The sequence below is a fragment of the Homo sapiens genome, chromosome 21, assembly GCF_000001405.40.
Source record: "Homo sapiens chromosome 21, GRCh38.p14 Primary Assembly".
Taxonomy (NCBI): domain Eukaryota; kingdom Metazoa; phylum Chordata; class Mammalia; order Primates; family Hominidae; genus Homo; species Homo sapiens.
The window spans coordinates 22,897,321-22,916,110 of NC_000021.9; the positions used below are offsets into that span (position 1 = coordinate 22,897,321).

Genomic DNA, 18,790 nt, shown 5'->3' on the forward strand with positions numbered 1-18,790 from the left:
AACATTACTGAAAGAAAACATAGGAAAAAGTTCTTATAACCTTAGGTAGGACAAAAAGGCATTAATAACTAAAAATAAATAAACAAATAAAAAAGAATATTGATGCTGTTTACATGCCAAATCTTGGAATTCTCGACTTCAGCCATAACCATCTCTCTGCTTAGATTCATTCCCTGCTATATTAAATCCCTGGAGCTTGCGTAACAAATTACCACAGGCCAGGTGACTGAAAGCAGCAGGGATTTGTTCTCTCACAGTTTTGCAGGGCAAAATTTAGAAATCAAGTGTTGCTAGGTCCATGCTTCCTTTGAAGGCTTTAGGGAAGCATCCTTCCAAGCTTCCTAGCTTCTGGTGGCTTCTAGCAATCATCGGTATCCCTTGGTCTGTAGCTGAATAACTCCAATCTCTGTCTCTCTTATCATATGACCTTCTTTCCTATGCATATCTCTGTGTCTCTTCTTCCCTTTTTATTAAGTACACTAAGTATTGATTTTAGGACCCACCCTAATCTAGTGTGACATCATCTTAACTAATTACATCTGCAAAGGCCGTATTTCCACATAAGGTCACATTGTGAGGTCCTGGGTAGACATGAATTTTTGAGGGACACCATGCAATTCAATACTCTTACCTAGGATGTTTTCTTTACTCCCTTACATATGTTTCCTTTCCTAAGGATATTCCATTAACAAATGATGTCTCACGCTATGCTTTTAATGAATTTGTCCCTAAGACAATGTTATATCCCTGGAAACTACCAAAGTGTTTGGCACATAATGGATACATAACTAAGTATCCCTTATCTGCAAGGAATATGTTCCAAGACCCCCAGTGAATTCCTGAAATGGCGAATAGCATCAAACTATGTAAATACTCTTTTGCGATGTGGTAATCAAGTTGGCTACTAAGTGACTAAAGGGTAGGTAGTGTCTACAGCATAATATGCTAGACAATGGGATGATTCAGATCCTGGGAAAGACATAGTGATATGGCATGGGATTTCTTCATGCTACTCAGAAAGGCTACAATTTAAAATGTGTATTTTTTATTTCTGGAATTTTCCATTTAATATTTTTAGACCGCATTTGACTGCAGTTAACTGTAACCATGAAAAGAGGAACCACTAAGGGAGGATGACTATATGTGTGTGTGTGTGTGTGTGTGTGTCTGCACGCGCATGAATGATAAAAAGTGGAACCTATCAGGAATTTGGGAAATATGTGTGAACAGGATCCAGTAAATATGAGAAGAAAGTGCATAGGTGATAGTTTTGATTGGGGCATAATCTTGGCAACAATTTCTGGAGGCAAATTTGGCCTATGAAACACTGAAAGCTATTTATTAAGTACCTGCTATTAAAGCAAGATATGTTAGTAGAACAATACTGACAAATATTTCTGCCCTTAGGAAGGTTACATTTTAGTGAAAAAGCATATGAAATATTTACATTCTCTAAAAGTGAGTATGTTATAAGTGCTATGAAAAAATGCTCAAGAAAAAGATGTCTGGAGGATAACGTATGGTGGGATAAATTGTGTTATGTTTAGAGCATAGTACAGTGTTACTCAGATTGCCAGATGACAGCGATTGCCTATTCAAATCAGAGGTGGACAAACTTGCAGGGGCTCAAGTGCCTGAAAAAATGGCAAATTCACAAGGCCTGACAAGATGGCAAGGCAATTACAGGTTGTATTGTACAGAAAACAGTAATCTACCAGTGACTTTAAAACTCACACTTGAGAGCTGCTCTGATGATCAGTTTTAAAGTGTCAACTTGACCGGGAAATGGGTTGCCCAGATATTTGCTTAAACATTACTTCTGAATGTGTCTGTGAGGATGTTTCTGGGTGAGATTAACATTTAAATCAGTAGACTGAGTAGATTGTCCTCCTCCATGTGGATGGGCCTCATCTAATCTGTTGAAGACGTGGATAGAATAAAAGGCTGAGTAAGAAAGAATTATTTCTCTCTGCCTTACTGTTTCAAACTGGGACATCAGTCTTCTGTCTTCGGGCTTGGATTCAGACTGCAACTATACCATGAACTCTCCTGAGTCTCCAGCTTGCCAACTGTAGACAATGAACTTTCCACTTAATTCATAAGCCGATTCCTAATAATAAATCTGTATCTATGTCTATATCTATATGTATGTATGTCTGTCTGTCTATATATCTATCTATCTATCTATCTATCTATCTATCGATCTATCTATCTACCTATCCAATTGGTTCTGTTTCTCTGAAGAAACCAACTATAATGACTTTGTTGGAGATTTGGAGATCTGTATTTCTAACATGGCATCCCATCCAAATTAAATTGTTATTAAATTTCTCCTGGTTATATTTTTTACCCATGAGGGAAATTACATATTACTTACAATAGAGATGAAAACAGAAAGAGCATAAAACAAGTGAAGCCTGTCAAATGGAGGGAAAAGACACTGACATGGTCGGTTATCACCAAGTTACATTATCAACTCCATGTAAAACTCTTATAGGTTTCACTACTTCCCAAGTCAATAAAGACTCCAAAAGTAAAAGAAGGTCATTTGATAAAACAAGAAAATAAACCTATCTTAATTGTTCATAATGATTTTGTTTTGCATTTTAACCATTTTTTTTTTATTATCCTCACAAATAATAACACTAAGTCAAGTCATGAGTCAAATACTAATCTTTAGGCCAAGACAAAACAACCAACTATATGCCTCTTCAAATTATTTAAAAAATGATAAAATTAAGGAATTTGAAATATTATCTATATGTGTAGAATCTGTGAGAGAAACAAAATAATTTCCTACTTCAGCCATTGTATATATACTAGCTTTGTTTGAATTGTCATCTTACTAAATGGACATGTGTAATCTTTCTCTAAAACTAATTCCTGCCATAATAACAAAAACCAATATTTTAGTAGAAATGGGGTTTTGCCATGTTGGCCAGGCTGGCCTCGAACTCCTGACCTCAGGCGATCCACCTGCCTTGGCCTCCCAAAGTGCTGGGATTACAGGCGTGAGTCACTGCACCAGGCCAATTTTAATAATAATTTATTGCACATTTTTAACAGGTTCATTCATTTTCACAAAAGTCCTCAGGCTAATAGCTGTTCCTTCATGTCAAAATGTCTCTGGCTAAGACCAGAAAAGAAAAACAGTGGGCAATTTCCTTTTCACCTCATTTTATCTATGCAACTCTATACCATTTTCATTTTAGGAGACTATAGAAGTGTGGAGTCTATTTTCAGGTATATCTATAATTACCAATTTTATTCTAATATATCAGCAAAATTCTTTCACATGACCACATGAGTCAGGAATCTGGGGACTATGTTAATCACATTATAAAACAGAAACACTCTGAAAGGTCAGTTCCTTCTTGCCTAATCCGATATTCAGAGCCTGTTCCTGAGTCACGGTAGGACAGGAAAAAAAACAACTGATGTAAAGTTTCCTGAAGTGTTTAATCAACACAATCCAGACTAAAGCCTGAAAAAACATTTACTGTCAATGTCCATTAGCCTAGGAGAGTTTTCTGAGCTCATAGAAGAAAAGAGGCTGTTTTCCTTCACCAAACAAGAGGGCACCTTGCTCATTCATTCTGGGTCCTTAAGAAAAAAAAGTGGATGAATTTTGTATGTTTAAAACAGGCAAGGAAAAAAAGAAAGCAAAAATATATTTACAGTAGACTTTCCGTATCCACCAACCACAGCTGGAAAATATTCAGGAAAAAATAAAAATAAAAAAACGTAACAATAAAAGCCAATACAAATAAAAAATACAATATAACAACTATTTCCATGGCATTTACATTTCATTAGTTATTGTAGGTAATCTGCAGAGGATTTAAAGTATAAAGGTGGCCGGGTGCAGTGGCTCACGCCTGTAATCCCAGCACTTTGGGAGGCCAAGGTGGGCGGATCAGGAGCTCAGGAGATCGAGACCATCCTGGCTAACACAGTGAAACCCCTTCTCTACTGAAAACGCAAAAAATTAGCCGGGCGTGGTGGCAGGCACCTGTAGTCCCAGCTACTCGGGAGGCTGAGGCAGGAGAATCGCTTGAACCCGGGAGGCGGAGGTTGCAGCGAGCTGAGATCGCGCCACTGCACTCCAGCCTGGGCGACAGAACAAGACTCCCCCTCGAAAAAAAAAGTATAAAGGAGGATGTGTGTAGCTTATATGTGAACACTATGCCATTTTATATAAGCGACTTGAGTGCCCACAGATTTTGGTGTCTGCAGGGGCCCTGGAACCAATCTCCTGCAGATATTGAGGGATGACTGTCTACTTTCCAGACGAATTTAAAATCTTTGGTCCAAATAACAGCAGAATAAATAAATCCTATGCTGTTAGCTACTATTGTTTTGGTTAAATGGCAGGCATTTAGAGTTGAAAAAATAGTTAGCTTACTAGAGGGCAGGAAGAGACAAACTAGCCTTGACAATTCTGTAAAAATGTTGTCAAACGGAGCAAGTGGCTGGTATTCAGAGGTGACTGAGTATACTTTTCACTGTGGTTGCATTCTCATTGATGACAAACCGAACATCAAAAATAAGGGTTGGATGGGCTTTGATATCACGTTAATTAAACATTAGGATGACATGATTCAAATCAGTTATTTAAATCTATATTAGAATAACTTAGTGATCCAGAGTACTTTTTATAAAACTAAACCAAATGTAATGTAGTTCATATATAATATGCTTTTTGTACTAGCATGAATAGGTAGATGTACTTATATATGTGTGTCTATGTGTGTGTGAATACACACATATGGACATTAAAGGCAAATGTTCATCATTAAGTTGTTGAAAGAGGACATAAAAGAATATTATGTATGTTGCATGTATGTAACATACATAACATAATACAGGCTGAGCCTGTCAGAACATTTTAGTAAATAAGGCAACACGTATCTGATGGTGGTACCATAAAATTACAATGGAGCTGAAAAATTCCTATCACCTAGTGACAGTGTAACCATCATGCTGTCCTCAAATAATGCATTACTCACGTTTGTGGTGATGCTGATGTAAAAAAAACCTAGGATACTTCCAGTCGTATAAACTTGTAGCAATACAATTATGTACAATACATAATGATAATAAATGACTATGTTGCTGATTTATATATTTAAATATTTACTATATTTTCTATCTTTGTATTACAGTATACTCCTTCTACTTATTAAAAAAAGTTGACCATAAAATAACTCAGGCATGTCCTTGAGGAGGTGCTTCAGAAGAAAGTATTATTATCAGAGGATGACATTTCCATGCCTGTTATTGCCCCTGAAGATCTTGCAGTGGGACAAGATGTGAAAGTGGAGGCCGAGTGCAGTGACTCATGCCTGTCATGAGTCTGACCATGACTCATGGGAGGCCAAGGTGGGCAGATCACCTGAGGTCAGGAGTTCGAGACCAACCTGGACAACAAGGTGAAACCCCGTCTCTACTAAAAATACAAAAAAAAAAAAAAAGAAAAAGAAAAACTTAGCCAGGAGTGGTGGGGAGCACCTGTAATCTCAGCCACTCAGGAGGTTGAAGCAGGAGAATTGCCTGAACCTGGGAGGCGGAGGTTGCAGTGAGCCAAGATCACACCATTGCACTCCAGCCTGGGTGACAAGAGCGAGACTTCGTGTCAAAAAAAAAAAAAAAAAAAGAAAAAAAGAAAGTGGAATACAGTGATATTGATTATCCTCACCGTGTACAGGCCTAGGCTGATGTATGTGTTTGTGTCTTAGTTTTTAACTGAAAATTCTAAAAAGTAAAGAAAAACAGAAAAAAATGTAGAATAAAGATATAAATAAAATATTTTTTGTGCAGCTGTGCAATGTGTTTAATTTTTAAGCTAAGTATTATTACAAAAATCAAAAAGCTAAATAAATTAAAACTTTTATAAAGTAAAAAGTTACAGTAAGCTAAGGTTAATGTCTTATTGAAGAAAGAAAATTTTTTATAATTTAGTGTAGCCTAAATGTACTGTATTTATAAAGTTTATAGTAGTATATAGTAATGTCTAAGGCCTTCCCATTCACTCACCACTCACTCACTGATTCACCCAAAGTAACTTCCAGTCCTGCAAGCTTCATTCATGGTAAGTGCCCTATACAGGGTACCATTTTTTCATCTTTTATGCTGTATTTTTACTGTACCTTCCCTTTTTTCTTTTCTTTTTTTTCTTTTCTTTCTTTTTTTTTTTTTTTTTTTTTTTTTTAACACAGTCTCGCTCTGTCACCCAGGCTGGAGTGCAGTGGCACAATCTCGGCTCACTGCAACCTCCACCTCCCAGGTTCAAGCAATTATCCTGCCTCAGCCTCCTGAGTAGCTGGGATTACAGGTGTGCGCCACCATGCCCAGCTAATTTTTGTATTTTTAGTAAAGACAGGGTTTCACTATGTTGGTCAGGCTGGTCTCTATCTCCTGACCTCATGATCCACCTGCCTCGGCCTCCCAAAGTGCTGGAATTACAGGTGTGAGCCACCATACCCAGCCTTACTGTATCATAGATAGATAGATAGATAGATAGATGATAGATAGATAGATAGATAGATAGATAGATAGATAGGAATATAGTTGCCTACAATATTCAGCACAGTAACATGCTATATAGGTCTGTAGCTTGGGAGCAATAGGCTGTAATATCATATTGTCTAGGTGTGTAGAAGGCTATACCTTCTAAGCTTGTGTAAGTATACTCTGTGATGTTCACAAAATTGCAAAATCCCCTAAGGATGGATTTCTCAAGACATATCATCATCATTAAGCAATGCCTAACTGTGCTTTACTTTTTGTTTCCCACTTGTAACATTGTTTTTCTTTTTGTAAGATATAAACTATTATGATTCTTTGTGGATGAATGCACATTAATCATCACCAATATAAAAAATACCATCAAGATCAAAGTTAGAAGTGGCACTATATGTAAAAATTGTGTGTCTCTAATTTTATAAAAAGTTTAAAATGATCACTAGGTGATTCCAGACACATAAGGCCTCAATGGCAGAAACCATATGAAAATTACAAAGTTAATATTTAAAGACCCGGCATGGTGGCTCATGCCTGTAATCCCAGCACTTTGGGAGGTCAAAGTGGGAGGATTGTTTGAACCCAGGAATTCAGGACGAGCCTGGGTAACATGACAGAAAACCATCTTTACAAAAAATACAAACATTACCCTGGCTTGGTGGCATGCACCTGTAGTCCCAGATACTTGGGAGGCTGAGATGGGACGACCCCTTGAGCCCAAGAGATTGAGGTGGCAGTGAGTCAAGAGTCATGAGGTGGCAGTGAGTCATGTAGGGCACTGCCCTACAGCCTGGGTGAAGGAGTGAGACCCTTTCTCGAAACAACAATAACAAAACACACCAGTAATAATTTTACTAATATATTTGATTTGTAAGGCAAATAAATATAAACTTTAGGAGTCCCACCATTAAGCGGACAGTATTGTAATGAAATCTCAGCATTTGGCTCAGATGGAACTCCTTTATATCTACCAGGAACATCACGGCAGCATTTGCACAATGGGCTATAGAACGATGGAGTGGCATAATTGCTGCCTCACTGAAGCGTGAATGCAGCCTAATTAACAGGATTGAAACTGCTACACTCAAAATCTCATTGCATTTATCTTCTTTTGCTTACTTTCTATAGGTAGGGTGGTCACCGAAGTGTTGCTTCTCATTGACATGCTGCAGTGTTTTTAGTCCACCTGCTTCATCTTGACCTCTGTCTTAGGATGCCATGTAAGCAACTCTCTTTTTGCTCGAGTATTCTAATTAAATCTTATTGTCTAATTGAGATAGTGGTATACAGAGCAATTGAAAATGTTCTATCCCAAGAGAAAACCAAACACCACATGTTCTCACTCATAAGTGGGAGTTGAACAATGAGAACACATGGACACAGGGAGCTGAACATGACACACCAGGGCCTGTCGGGCAGTGGGGGGCTAGGGGAGGGAGAGCATTAGGAGAAATACCTAATGTAGATGACGGGTTGATGGGTAAAGCAAACCACCATGGCACGTGTATACCTATGTAACAAACCTGCACATTCTGCACGTGTATCCCAGAACTTAAAGTATAATAAAAAAAAAAGAACAAAAAAAAAAAAGAAAAAATGTTCCAACCCTTCTGCTCTAAAGGGTAGATAGAAGCAATTATGAAAATCCATCTGCCAATTGCCTTTAAGATAGTGTTTCCTGCCAATACACTTTCATTCACTTCAATAAATCCCTGGCTGAATTCTTTGATACCATTTTTTAATAGAAAAAATAAAATTATAACAAGAAAAAATAAATGGAGATGAAGATAAATTAAACTTTCCTTCCTTGATGGTGATCATTCTTTAAAAAAAAAAAATCAGTTAATTTGTTTTCTTCAGGTTACCAGTCCAATTTTGCTTATTTCTTTCACTCTCTTCGTAAAGGACCAAGCCACTGCTTTGTTGTATGAAAATAATATTTTAAGACATTATAACAAGATTATTTGTTTGGCTTTGTGAAGGGGCATGTAATGGAACACCAGAAATCCTAAACTGTAATTTAGGATGTCATTAAAAGCTTGACTAGGGCAGGATATTTATATTTCTAGGCCTTCTTATTTTTTGAAAATTATGAGAAGGCATGAATAAATGACTTTTAGAAACTCATTAACTTTAATATTTCTGTGGTTTCATTTATATTTGCTCCTTGGCCAGCTGCAATAATACAAGTAGGTCCATGCTGAAATCAAAACATATTTCTTTAGATCTGTAATTAAAGTTATGATAAAGATCCTCTGACATATATATATATATATATATATTTTTTTTTTTTCTGTGTCACCAATTTGTATTCATATCTGTCCTTGAGACTTAATGAGCTTCACAGTGCTGGCATTCCAGATGTTGCCTGTGGTAAAATGTGACAATTACAAAAAAGGCCTTCTTGCTCCACAGTATTACCTTTAAATCCCACGACAAGTGAAATTAAACCCTTATATACTTTTTTTCCTGTTTGCAAAGGTTTGGGGATAATATGTTTTATACATGACAAAAATATAAATATTTTATATGTCCGTTAATCTTTGGGTAAGGGTAGATACAATTTATTTCTATCACCCTGTTTTGACTTTTGAAACCAAACAAGTTAATTTTAACACCTCTTCAGCATTTACACCAATGATCCCTCTTGTCTCTCAGCTGCCTCACTGCTTCAATACTGTCACACTGTGGCTGCTTACTTAATGTATAGGAAAGACATACAGATATTTAAGCAATTTAGAACTGTTTGATTGAATTAAAAAAAATGACACTGTGGCAAACCTAAGCTGATTTGAAACTTCATTCTCAGGTGTGAAGATGAACAATTTAAAATTGCTGAACTTTTTATTTGGTCATTTACCAAACTGGTAATAATGCCTGCTTCAAAATGTTGCTATAATTAAGCAACATATTATTTGAGGTATATGCAATAAAAATAAATAAAATTCACTTAAATTTTATAAAATATTTTGTTTTATAAATTATAAATGCCAGTAATAGTTCAGTGTGCTATACTTCCTGAATGTATCTATTTATTATTAGTTATTAACACAGTGATCTAATAGAACGAAGCAGCAGCAACCACTGTCTTCAGTCCAAAGTCTCGATTAAGTATTTCCTGATTCTCTAAATTCCCACTGCCATTGACTAGTATCTGGTTGTCCTTATCTCATGCTATGACTATTTTAATAGATAATCATCCCTATCCATTCTTCTCTATTTGTTTTTCACTCTTCTACTTTTAACTGAAAAATTAAATTACTGGAGATCATGGACTTGCTAATCACTGAAGGACAAAGGGAGTTCCTGAAATGTCTCTGAGAACTCATTCTAATTCCATTTTCTGTTACTGCCATGGTTCATGCTTTAGATGATCTATTTGTACTGAATTTCCAGTTTCTCAAACACAAGATTCTGTTACAAGTATCTGGGTTTAAATTTCATGTTCTTTTTTGTCATCCTAATAAAATACAACCCACTCTTACAGTCCCTACAGACCCGGATTAAACATGGTTTTCCAACTTTCTCAGTATGGATTTGTCACACCAATCTTTTTGCATTCATGACATTTGTGATAATACAGTGTAATTACTTGTCATTGTGTCTGATTTCCCCACCAGGAGCTAATAATACCATAATTTCAGTACAGAGAAAGTGGTCAAGAAGAGAGGAAGGAGGGGAAGAAGGCACAGAGGGAGAGAGAAAGTGAGTGAGACACAGAGAAAGAAAGAGAAAACACTAAGGTGCTTATTGAAAGTAAATTACATTATTACATTGTAAGCAATAATTTATAAGCTTAAATGATACTAATTAGAATAATATTTCACATTACAGCTAACATTTGCTAACTGAACCCAGTCATACACATAAACTAAACTTTCTACTTTGCATATTATGACAACATATCTCTCATTAATTTGATACTCTGTAATGTTATATTCCTAATTAGTCATATAGAATATATACTTTACCTCGTTACGTCCCAGCTCATGTTTAAAAAATAGCCTCATGTTATCATTTCATTGGGAAGAGAGATATTTGAAATCATAAGTAGTTGGAATTATTCTATTATTCTATTCTATTCCATTTACTCCATTTCCATTCCACTCCAATCCATTCTATTCTATGTGCCTTTAGTTTAGATTTCAAGGGCTTATGAGAAGGTCAGAAAAGTATGTACCAGAGGGTGGTATATTTGAGTTGAAAGAAATCCTAAAGGAGTGGGAGGTAGGTATTGAAAATAAGCTTCGTGGATTTGTCCTGGTCTGACCAAAGAATATCAAATAGAGATAGTCAAGTAATTTCAGGGTGCTAAGACTTTTCTACAGTCTTTGTGTAGAAAAATGCAAATACATGTCTGTTGATCAGAAAAAGAAGATGTGAATAAATCAAAGTCATGTCACTTTAATAGGAAAAATTTTAACATCTTCAGCTCTACATGCAGAAAAAAACATCATTATTAGTAAGACTCAGAGAGAAAATGGAAGAAAGGAAGGTTGAGAATATATGTGTGGATAATTTTATTTTAATTAAAAGTCATACACAGGTCCCTTTTATGTACAGGATATATTACCGTTTTCTTGTCTGTGACATTTGTGTTAAATGACATGGGTGAGTGGTAACAACTATGGAGGGTGTTTAAGTCTCTGAATAAAGTTGACATTAAATTCCACTGGCTACTAGATATGACTGCAAAGTAAGAAGACAGCATTTCATGTCTAGTTTGTGAAATTCATATCATTGTATTTCAGTATTAAAGTTTATATAATGACACACATCTGTGTTTTATCTTTCACACTTCCACTGTTGTTATATTTTATTCCCTCTTAAAATAACAACACTGTTACTAAGTACCATTTTTTTTTTTTAGACGGAATCTCGCTCTGTCTCCCAGGCTGGAGTGCAGTGGCCCGATCTCGGCTCACTGCAACCTCTGCCTCCTAGGTTCAAGAGGTTCTCCTCCCTCAGCCTCCCGAGTAGCTGGGATTACAGGCTTGCATCACCACACCCAGCTAATTTTTGTATTTTTAATAGAGACGGGGTTTCACCATATTGGCCAGGCTGGTCTTGAATGCCTGACCTCGTGATCCACCCGCCTCAGCCTCCTAAAGTGCTAGGATTACAGGCATGAGCCACCGCACCTGGCCGTCCGTAGAACACTTACAAAATCAACATGGATATGCATTGGGTCAAAAAGTCAATGATTTCCTTTTTTAAAAAAGAGCCATCTCACACCAGTTAGAATGGCAATCATTAAAAAGTCAGGAAACAGCAGGTGCTGGAGAGGATGTGGAGAAATAGGAACACTTTTACACTGCTGGTGGGACTGTAAACTAGTTCAACTATTGTGGAAGTCAGTGTGGTGATTCCTCAGGGATCTAGAACTAGAAATACCATTTGACCCAGCCATCCCATTACTGGGTATATATCCAAAGGACTGTAAATCATGCTGCTATAAAGACACATGCACACGTATGTTTATTGGGGCACTATTCACAATAGCAAAGACTTGGAACCAACCCAAATGCCCAACAATGATAGACTGGATTAAGAAAACGTGGCACATATACACCATAGAATACTATGCAGCCATAAAAAATGATGAGTTCATGTCCTTTGTAGGGACATGGATGAAATTGGAAATCATCATTCTCAGTAAACTATCACAAGGACAAAAAACCAAACACCGCAAGTTCTCACTCATAGATGGGAATTGAACAATGAGAACACGTGGACACAGGAAGGGGAACATCACACTCTGGGGACTGTTGTGGGGTCAGGGGAAGGGGGAGGGATAGCATTAGGAGATATACCTAATGCTAAATGTCGAGTTAATGGGTGCAGCACACCAGCATGGCACATGTATACATATGTAATTAACCTGCACATTGTGCACATGTACCCTAAAACTTAAAGTATAATAATAAAAAAAAGGGTGCTTAAAGGATATAGTGTCTCATTGAGTAATCAAATTAGGAATAAGCAATATTTATGTGTTCAAAAACCCAAAGATGATTGGAAAAAAGCAATACTTAAAAAAAACCCTTGAATCATATATTTGATTACTAAATTGGCTATTACTGTCTACAAAATTAAAGAAAGAGAACACTTTACACTAACCTTTATAGGGGACTACAAAAGTTGTATTTCCATGAAAATTTAATATTCATGATAGACATACGTTATAGCATTTCTAAGTCATAAAAGGCTATTGAAGGGATGTCTTTAAAAAGAATTTTTTAGAAGGATAGCAATAAAAAAAAGAAAGAGGATATTTATCATAACATTAGAAATGAAAAGACAAAAAATAAAAAAAAATTATAAAGTAAAAATATATCCAAAACCCATGCCTTAAAAAGACTATGCAGGGGATTTTTCTCGTTAAGTAAAATGAAGAATAAAAATAGATAAATGGGAAATATCAAAGGAACCGTAAGTAGAACATATTATTTGAATAATAAAATATAATACATTAAATTATGGCTGAAATATATAAATACCTTGAGGAAAACACTTACAAATAGCTCATTTAAAATGATCAACATTCCACCTTAATAAAAGTAAAACCTGAATGAACTAATTACCATAGATGTGATTAGAAATATGTTTAGAGAGGTATCACCGAAAATGAACGCCACAGGTTAGATTTATCTAATATTAATAGAACATATAAGCAAGGATATTTAGCTGTATTAAAAATATGTTCATGTTTTTAATACTTCTAGGCATTAAAAACATTAAAACATTTTAATACAGTTTTATCATTCTATAACAAGTTTAATACAAAAACTAAATAAAAATTTTCAAAAAGAAAATATAGATCAATTGTGTATATATATAAATAAAAATTTTAGTAAAGTCTACAGAAACTTCAAAAGAATAACACTTTATGAGCAAGTTTGGCTGCTCAGTTGTAAAAAAATTCTCAATAAATTTAATTCCATTAATAAATTAATACGCAAATATATCTCATTAAATATCAATGTTCCCTGTATTAACCTACACAGTTCATATAATTTCAGTTAGAATGTGAAAAAGAAAACTTATAAAAATTGTCAAAACTTTTATTTTTAATTTTTAGATCTAGAAAACATGAAAATGCAAAGAAAATGAAGGGAAGATTGATCCCTGACACCAGGAAGTAGAAAAAGATGATGTTAATAACATTAGTATAGTATTAGAAACATAAATGAAAATATTAAAAAACTTAAGTAATCTAAAAGTAGAGTTAAGTTTATATCAGCTGAGAATATGTATAATTGGTAATTCCATTTAATTTTAAAAGGATGAATTATTTAATTAACTGAATATTTACCCTGATATAAACAGAGCATACAGATATTTATATTAAAATACTTTCAAAGGTTGGCAATTAAATACAAAATACAGAGTAAACATATTACAAAGTACCTAGAAGATTATATCTTTAGACAGATCATGGGGGTTGGAGACAAATTTCTAAACAGAATGCTATCAAGTAAAAGCACAAAAAAGAATAAAGTCTCCTGGCACAAAACAAAATAAAAAACCAATACAAACCCTACCAAATTAAATAGATAAATGTTAATTCAGGAAAAATGTACATTTTTTCCGAAATATAATTATTTTTATTGAAAACGAAAAGGTCAGCACTTCAGAACAAAAATAGCCACATAAAATGAGTAGAAAATGACTTAGGAGCCTGTGAAAAATGCTAAAATATTTGGTTCTAGAAAGATGGATATTAACGTGACTGTGAGATGATACTTTACACCTAGCAGAAAGGCAAAACATTTGAAAACTTATAATTCATTCCTGGCAGGTATCTAGGAAACCTGTATTTTTTTACATTGCTAGTGTAAAATAGTAATTCATGAGTTTAATGTGGGCAATCTAGCAACATACTTTTACATTAATAAATGCAATTTTGATCCTTTGAATCTTCCTTACTAGATAAGATGTAGAAAAATGTTCAAAGATGCTTATTAAAGCATTTTTTACAGTGGATGAGAATAAGAATTTAAATAAATGCTTATTAGTAGGAGAATGTCATAATAAAAGTGTTATATCACACACTCTCTAAAAAGAAAAATTTAAGTAATACCTGATAATGTGGAGGGATTTTTAAATAAGATAGAGTTGAGTAGGAAAAGCAAGATGCAGAAAATATGTACAATAGTATCCTGCTTTTTAAGACAATAATAATCTCTACAATGAAAAATATTTATGTTTATATGCAGACATATATGTACATACATACAAATATGTCAAAGGGCACATATCCCTTGTTTGTTTGGGTGATGATCATGGATAATGGTAATGATGGAGGGAGGAAACAGGTAATTACAAGAAATATCAACTTTATTATATTATCCCAATTACGTATATAACAAGATATTTGAAAATAAATGGTCATTAAAATGTTTACACGCTTACCTCAAAGTGTTGGGATATGAGTTGATCTTTACACAACACATTTCCTGTGTCATTTAGAATTTGAAAAATGAAAAATAATGGTAAAAATATTTTAAAATTGTCTTTGAGATATATATTTATATACACATATGCATGACATATTAGTATTTTTATTTCAATATGAGAAGCCTATTAAACTTTTGTGATATATACCAAACTAACAATCACTACTGATTCCTTCTTAAGTAATTTAAGAAAAAGCCTTTATTTAAAAATTCCATTGAAAAATCATCTGTAAATATTTGGAAGAAATGTCACAGGCAATCATTTGATTTGCTTATGGTGTTTGTCCTTCTGTGCAAAAAAATATTGACTATCCCATGTGAGACACAGAAAAGGTTGTGGGGCCATGTTTTTCATTTCTTCCAGCAGGAAACTTTTCTAGGGAAAAGTAAACACTAAGTTGACAATGACACGATTTGTACAGTACATGAAAAAATCTACGACTTTCAAATATGTGTGTCATTCAATGTTTTCACTAAATATTGGTAGAAGATGCTGTAATCTAGGACATTGTAAACCAAATTATTCTTACAGTTTAGAAGTTGATTTTTCAGAAATTCTGCAAATTAGATTTTCATTATCTTAAATTATCTAATCACCTTATGGAGTAGAAGTGAGGAATTCTTGTGGAATTGTTTCCTGTCAATATGTATTATCATTGTCATTTGTTCATTATTATTTTTGGAATGAGGTACTCAATTTACCTTCCATTGAACTTCAGGCGCTATCTAAACTTTTTATTAGAAGGGAAGCATAATGCCTGAAAACACTTTTGATATCATGATCTTGAGAACATTCAATGTAACACAGTCATCAGTTCTCAGAGACATAATTAAGAGTCAACCATTGGATTTCTGGTAAAGAAGAAACAACTTATTCACTTCATCTTCCTAAAGTATCTCACATTATTCTAGAAAACCAAGATTAATAAACTTATTCTTGCAACATAGAAAGTTAAATTTCCTATATATATATATAAAATTTACCTTTAGTAATTGACATTTGAATAGTAACATATATTTCACCAAAATTACAGAAAAAATAAATATTTCCTCTGGAGACTTTAAATGTTAAATTTTAAATGTAAAAATTTGTCATGCTACTAATGAAAGCAAATAAGCCAAAACTGTACTCACATAAGGAAAGTTACAATATGCTCTGTGATATAATTTATATCATTCTAATATAAGTGCTTATAAACTAGTAAGTTTTAAATACATTTTAAGTTAACTCTATTTTACCTTAAATTTGAATATGTGCAATTCATATGGCAAGTATAAATATCAAATAGTTTAAATAACTGAATATATTTAGGTCTTCCCACTGTTGAATTTATTATAATATAAAATTTGTAAGTTAATTAAACCATTTATTTTCCAAGCATAGATTTTTCTTCATAAATACATGCATATTATATGTATTCTCTAAATTCACATGTTAATATTTAGCCACCTCAAATTACCATTCTAAAAGTAATGATTTTTAAAAAAATCATTATTCAGTTACATTTATTAGTTAAATATATAATTAGACTTAGTTTTCTACCTAATATTTCTTCCACTCTAGTTTGGAAAAAATTTGCTTTAGCAAATAATTATCTAACTAGAAAAAAATAACATTCACTGGTATATCAGTATTGCCATTTTATAGTGGATCATGTTGATTGAGGATTCAGTTTAGCATTTTTCTTGGTACCATTCTGCTGAAGTTCCTAAAAATATCTTGGTAGCTGTTTTCTTGTTCATTCATGGAATTAGAACATTGGAATTTGCCTAAGAAAGCTTCTCATAATCACAAAGTTTGGAGTTATGAATTATTTAGTTTTAATTAATCCATTCAACTTACCTGAATGTTCAGTCACATAATTAGAATGTAATATTAACTATAGCTTAAGAAATATTTCTAAGAAGGTTTCCACAATGGAACACATTACTAGCTCTGCAGGAACAACAGGATTATTAATCGCTGGCAGGCCAGATGTAAATTGTCATTTTTAAAAAGAATTGTGGAGAAAAAAGACATAAATTCATTCAAATCCTCTTGCCTACGTTTTCTGCTTTGTGCCTGATTGCTTAGGAACCACAACTTCATAGAACTACAAATTGTAACAGCATATATATTTTTGTTAAATTCTCTCATTCCTTTGTCTCTCCAGATTCAAAAACTTATAATGGTTAAAGGAATAATGACAATACTATTACTACTAATAAAAATAACAATGATAATAATAATTGCTGCCAGTTAATGAGAACCTACTGTGAAACTGTAACTCTAATAGTTGTCATATTTTTACTCTTATAGTTTTTTTTATTTTTACTTTAATAGAGCAATGCTACAAAGTGATTTAATATTACACATATAGATAAGCAGATGGTGACTCTCCAATGTACTATCCTAGTGGGGCCAGTTTTTGAGTCCAGTTGAAAACTGTATATTTGATACAATATATGGCTTTAGGAAAAGAGTATAATCTTTCAAAAATAAATAATGCCTCTGTAACACTTGGTAGAATTTCTAGCACCTAATAAAAACTAGGAACACTCATCACAATTTAGTTTATTAATGGTAGTTTAGTGACTTTTGCCATATTTCAGTTGAGTGAGATCAGTATCTTTTTTGTAAAGTCATAAAGAATTTAAGCCATGACAACAGTTTGGTCTTTAATTGTAAAGACTATTTCCTGCCATGAAAGTGAGGCCTTGGTTAATTTTCTTTCACTAATGTACCTACTCTTTTATTTCATCAGAATTTATAGAGGAAAAATGAAGTTTTATATTGCAGTTATATCAAATAAGGGATTTCAGTTCATATGTGGATGCAAGGATCATAACTTACTATTTTAGGACCCTATTTCTGTTTATATAACAGAAGAAATGAGCACAACTAAAAGTGTTTGAAACCACACATTGCCGTGACTAAAAGAAATATATCATTTGAAAAAATAATAAATCAATGTTTACACTGAAGATTTTATATTTGCTAACTTAAAGAAGATCCTAAATATTGATGATGGGCTGATTGGGCTTCAATATACAAACTTCAACATATTGGGCTTCAACATATAAATTAAATTGCCTAAGAACTCAAAGGACCTTGTCATACAATTCAGGTGTTTTTCAAACACTATATACTTTCGTACAATAATCCATTACTCAAAAGAAGACAATTGACACAAAAGCAATGTAAACAAATAAAAATAGAACAATGATTTCAAAGAAGGGGTAGAGCCTCATCTATCAGCACATATTTATTCTTGGATCCAGAAAACAATTTGCCAATATCAGAACTAAAGAAGTATCCTCATTTGATAGCTTAGGAAATTGAAGTGCAGAAAATTTGAATGACTTTTTGCTGCTCCAAAAACCAACCTGAAACAGATCTGTAATTAACCATAGGACTCCTGGACCCTGGTTCTGTCCTCTTCTAACGTGCATATTTTGTCACTCAGACATGTATCTTCTGTGTTCTCTTGATAAAATTATATTTCAGCAAAAGGCTGTTTTATAAAAATCATTTTACTAAAACCTAAAGGCAAATAAAACGTGAGGGGTGGGACATAGCAGTGTGGATGTAGCTAGCAAATACAATTGGAAAAGATTATTATTTTGCTAAAGTCGACTGACGTTAATAAATAAGAAAAGAAAAAGTCCATAAGATCTTATTCATTATTGTTCCAGCAGGACACTGAGACATGAATGTTGAAAACACATTTTAATTAACAAGAATGAGCTGAGTTAAGGGAAGCCTCAGGGATACTGAACAAACACTCAAGCCTTAGCAAATAGAAAAGTATTAACATCTTTGGGCCTGA

The 18,790-nt window shown here is 33.8% G+C and overlaps 1 annotated feature.

Annotated features, from left to right (window-relative positions):
* Window positions 728-1,022: a silencer, noted in NCBI's record as "tiled region #6786; HepG2 Repressive non-DNase unmatched - State 24:Quies, and K562 Repressive non-DNase unmatched - State 24:Quies". NCBI's record gives its function as "represses a minimal TATA promoter and a strong SV40 promoter by Sharpr-MPRA in HepG2 and K562 cells {active_cell/tissue: HepG2 | K562}" and the evidence as "EXISTENCE:reporter gene assay evidence [ECO:0000049][PMID:27701403]".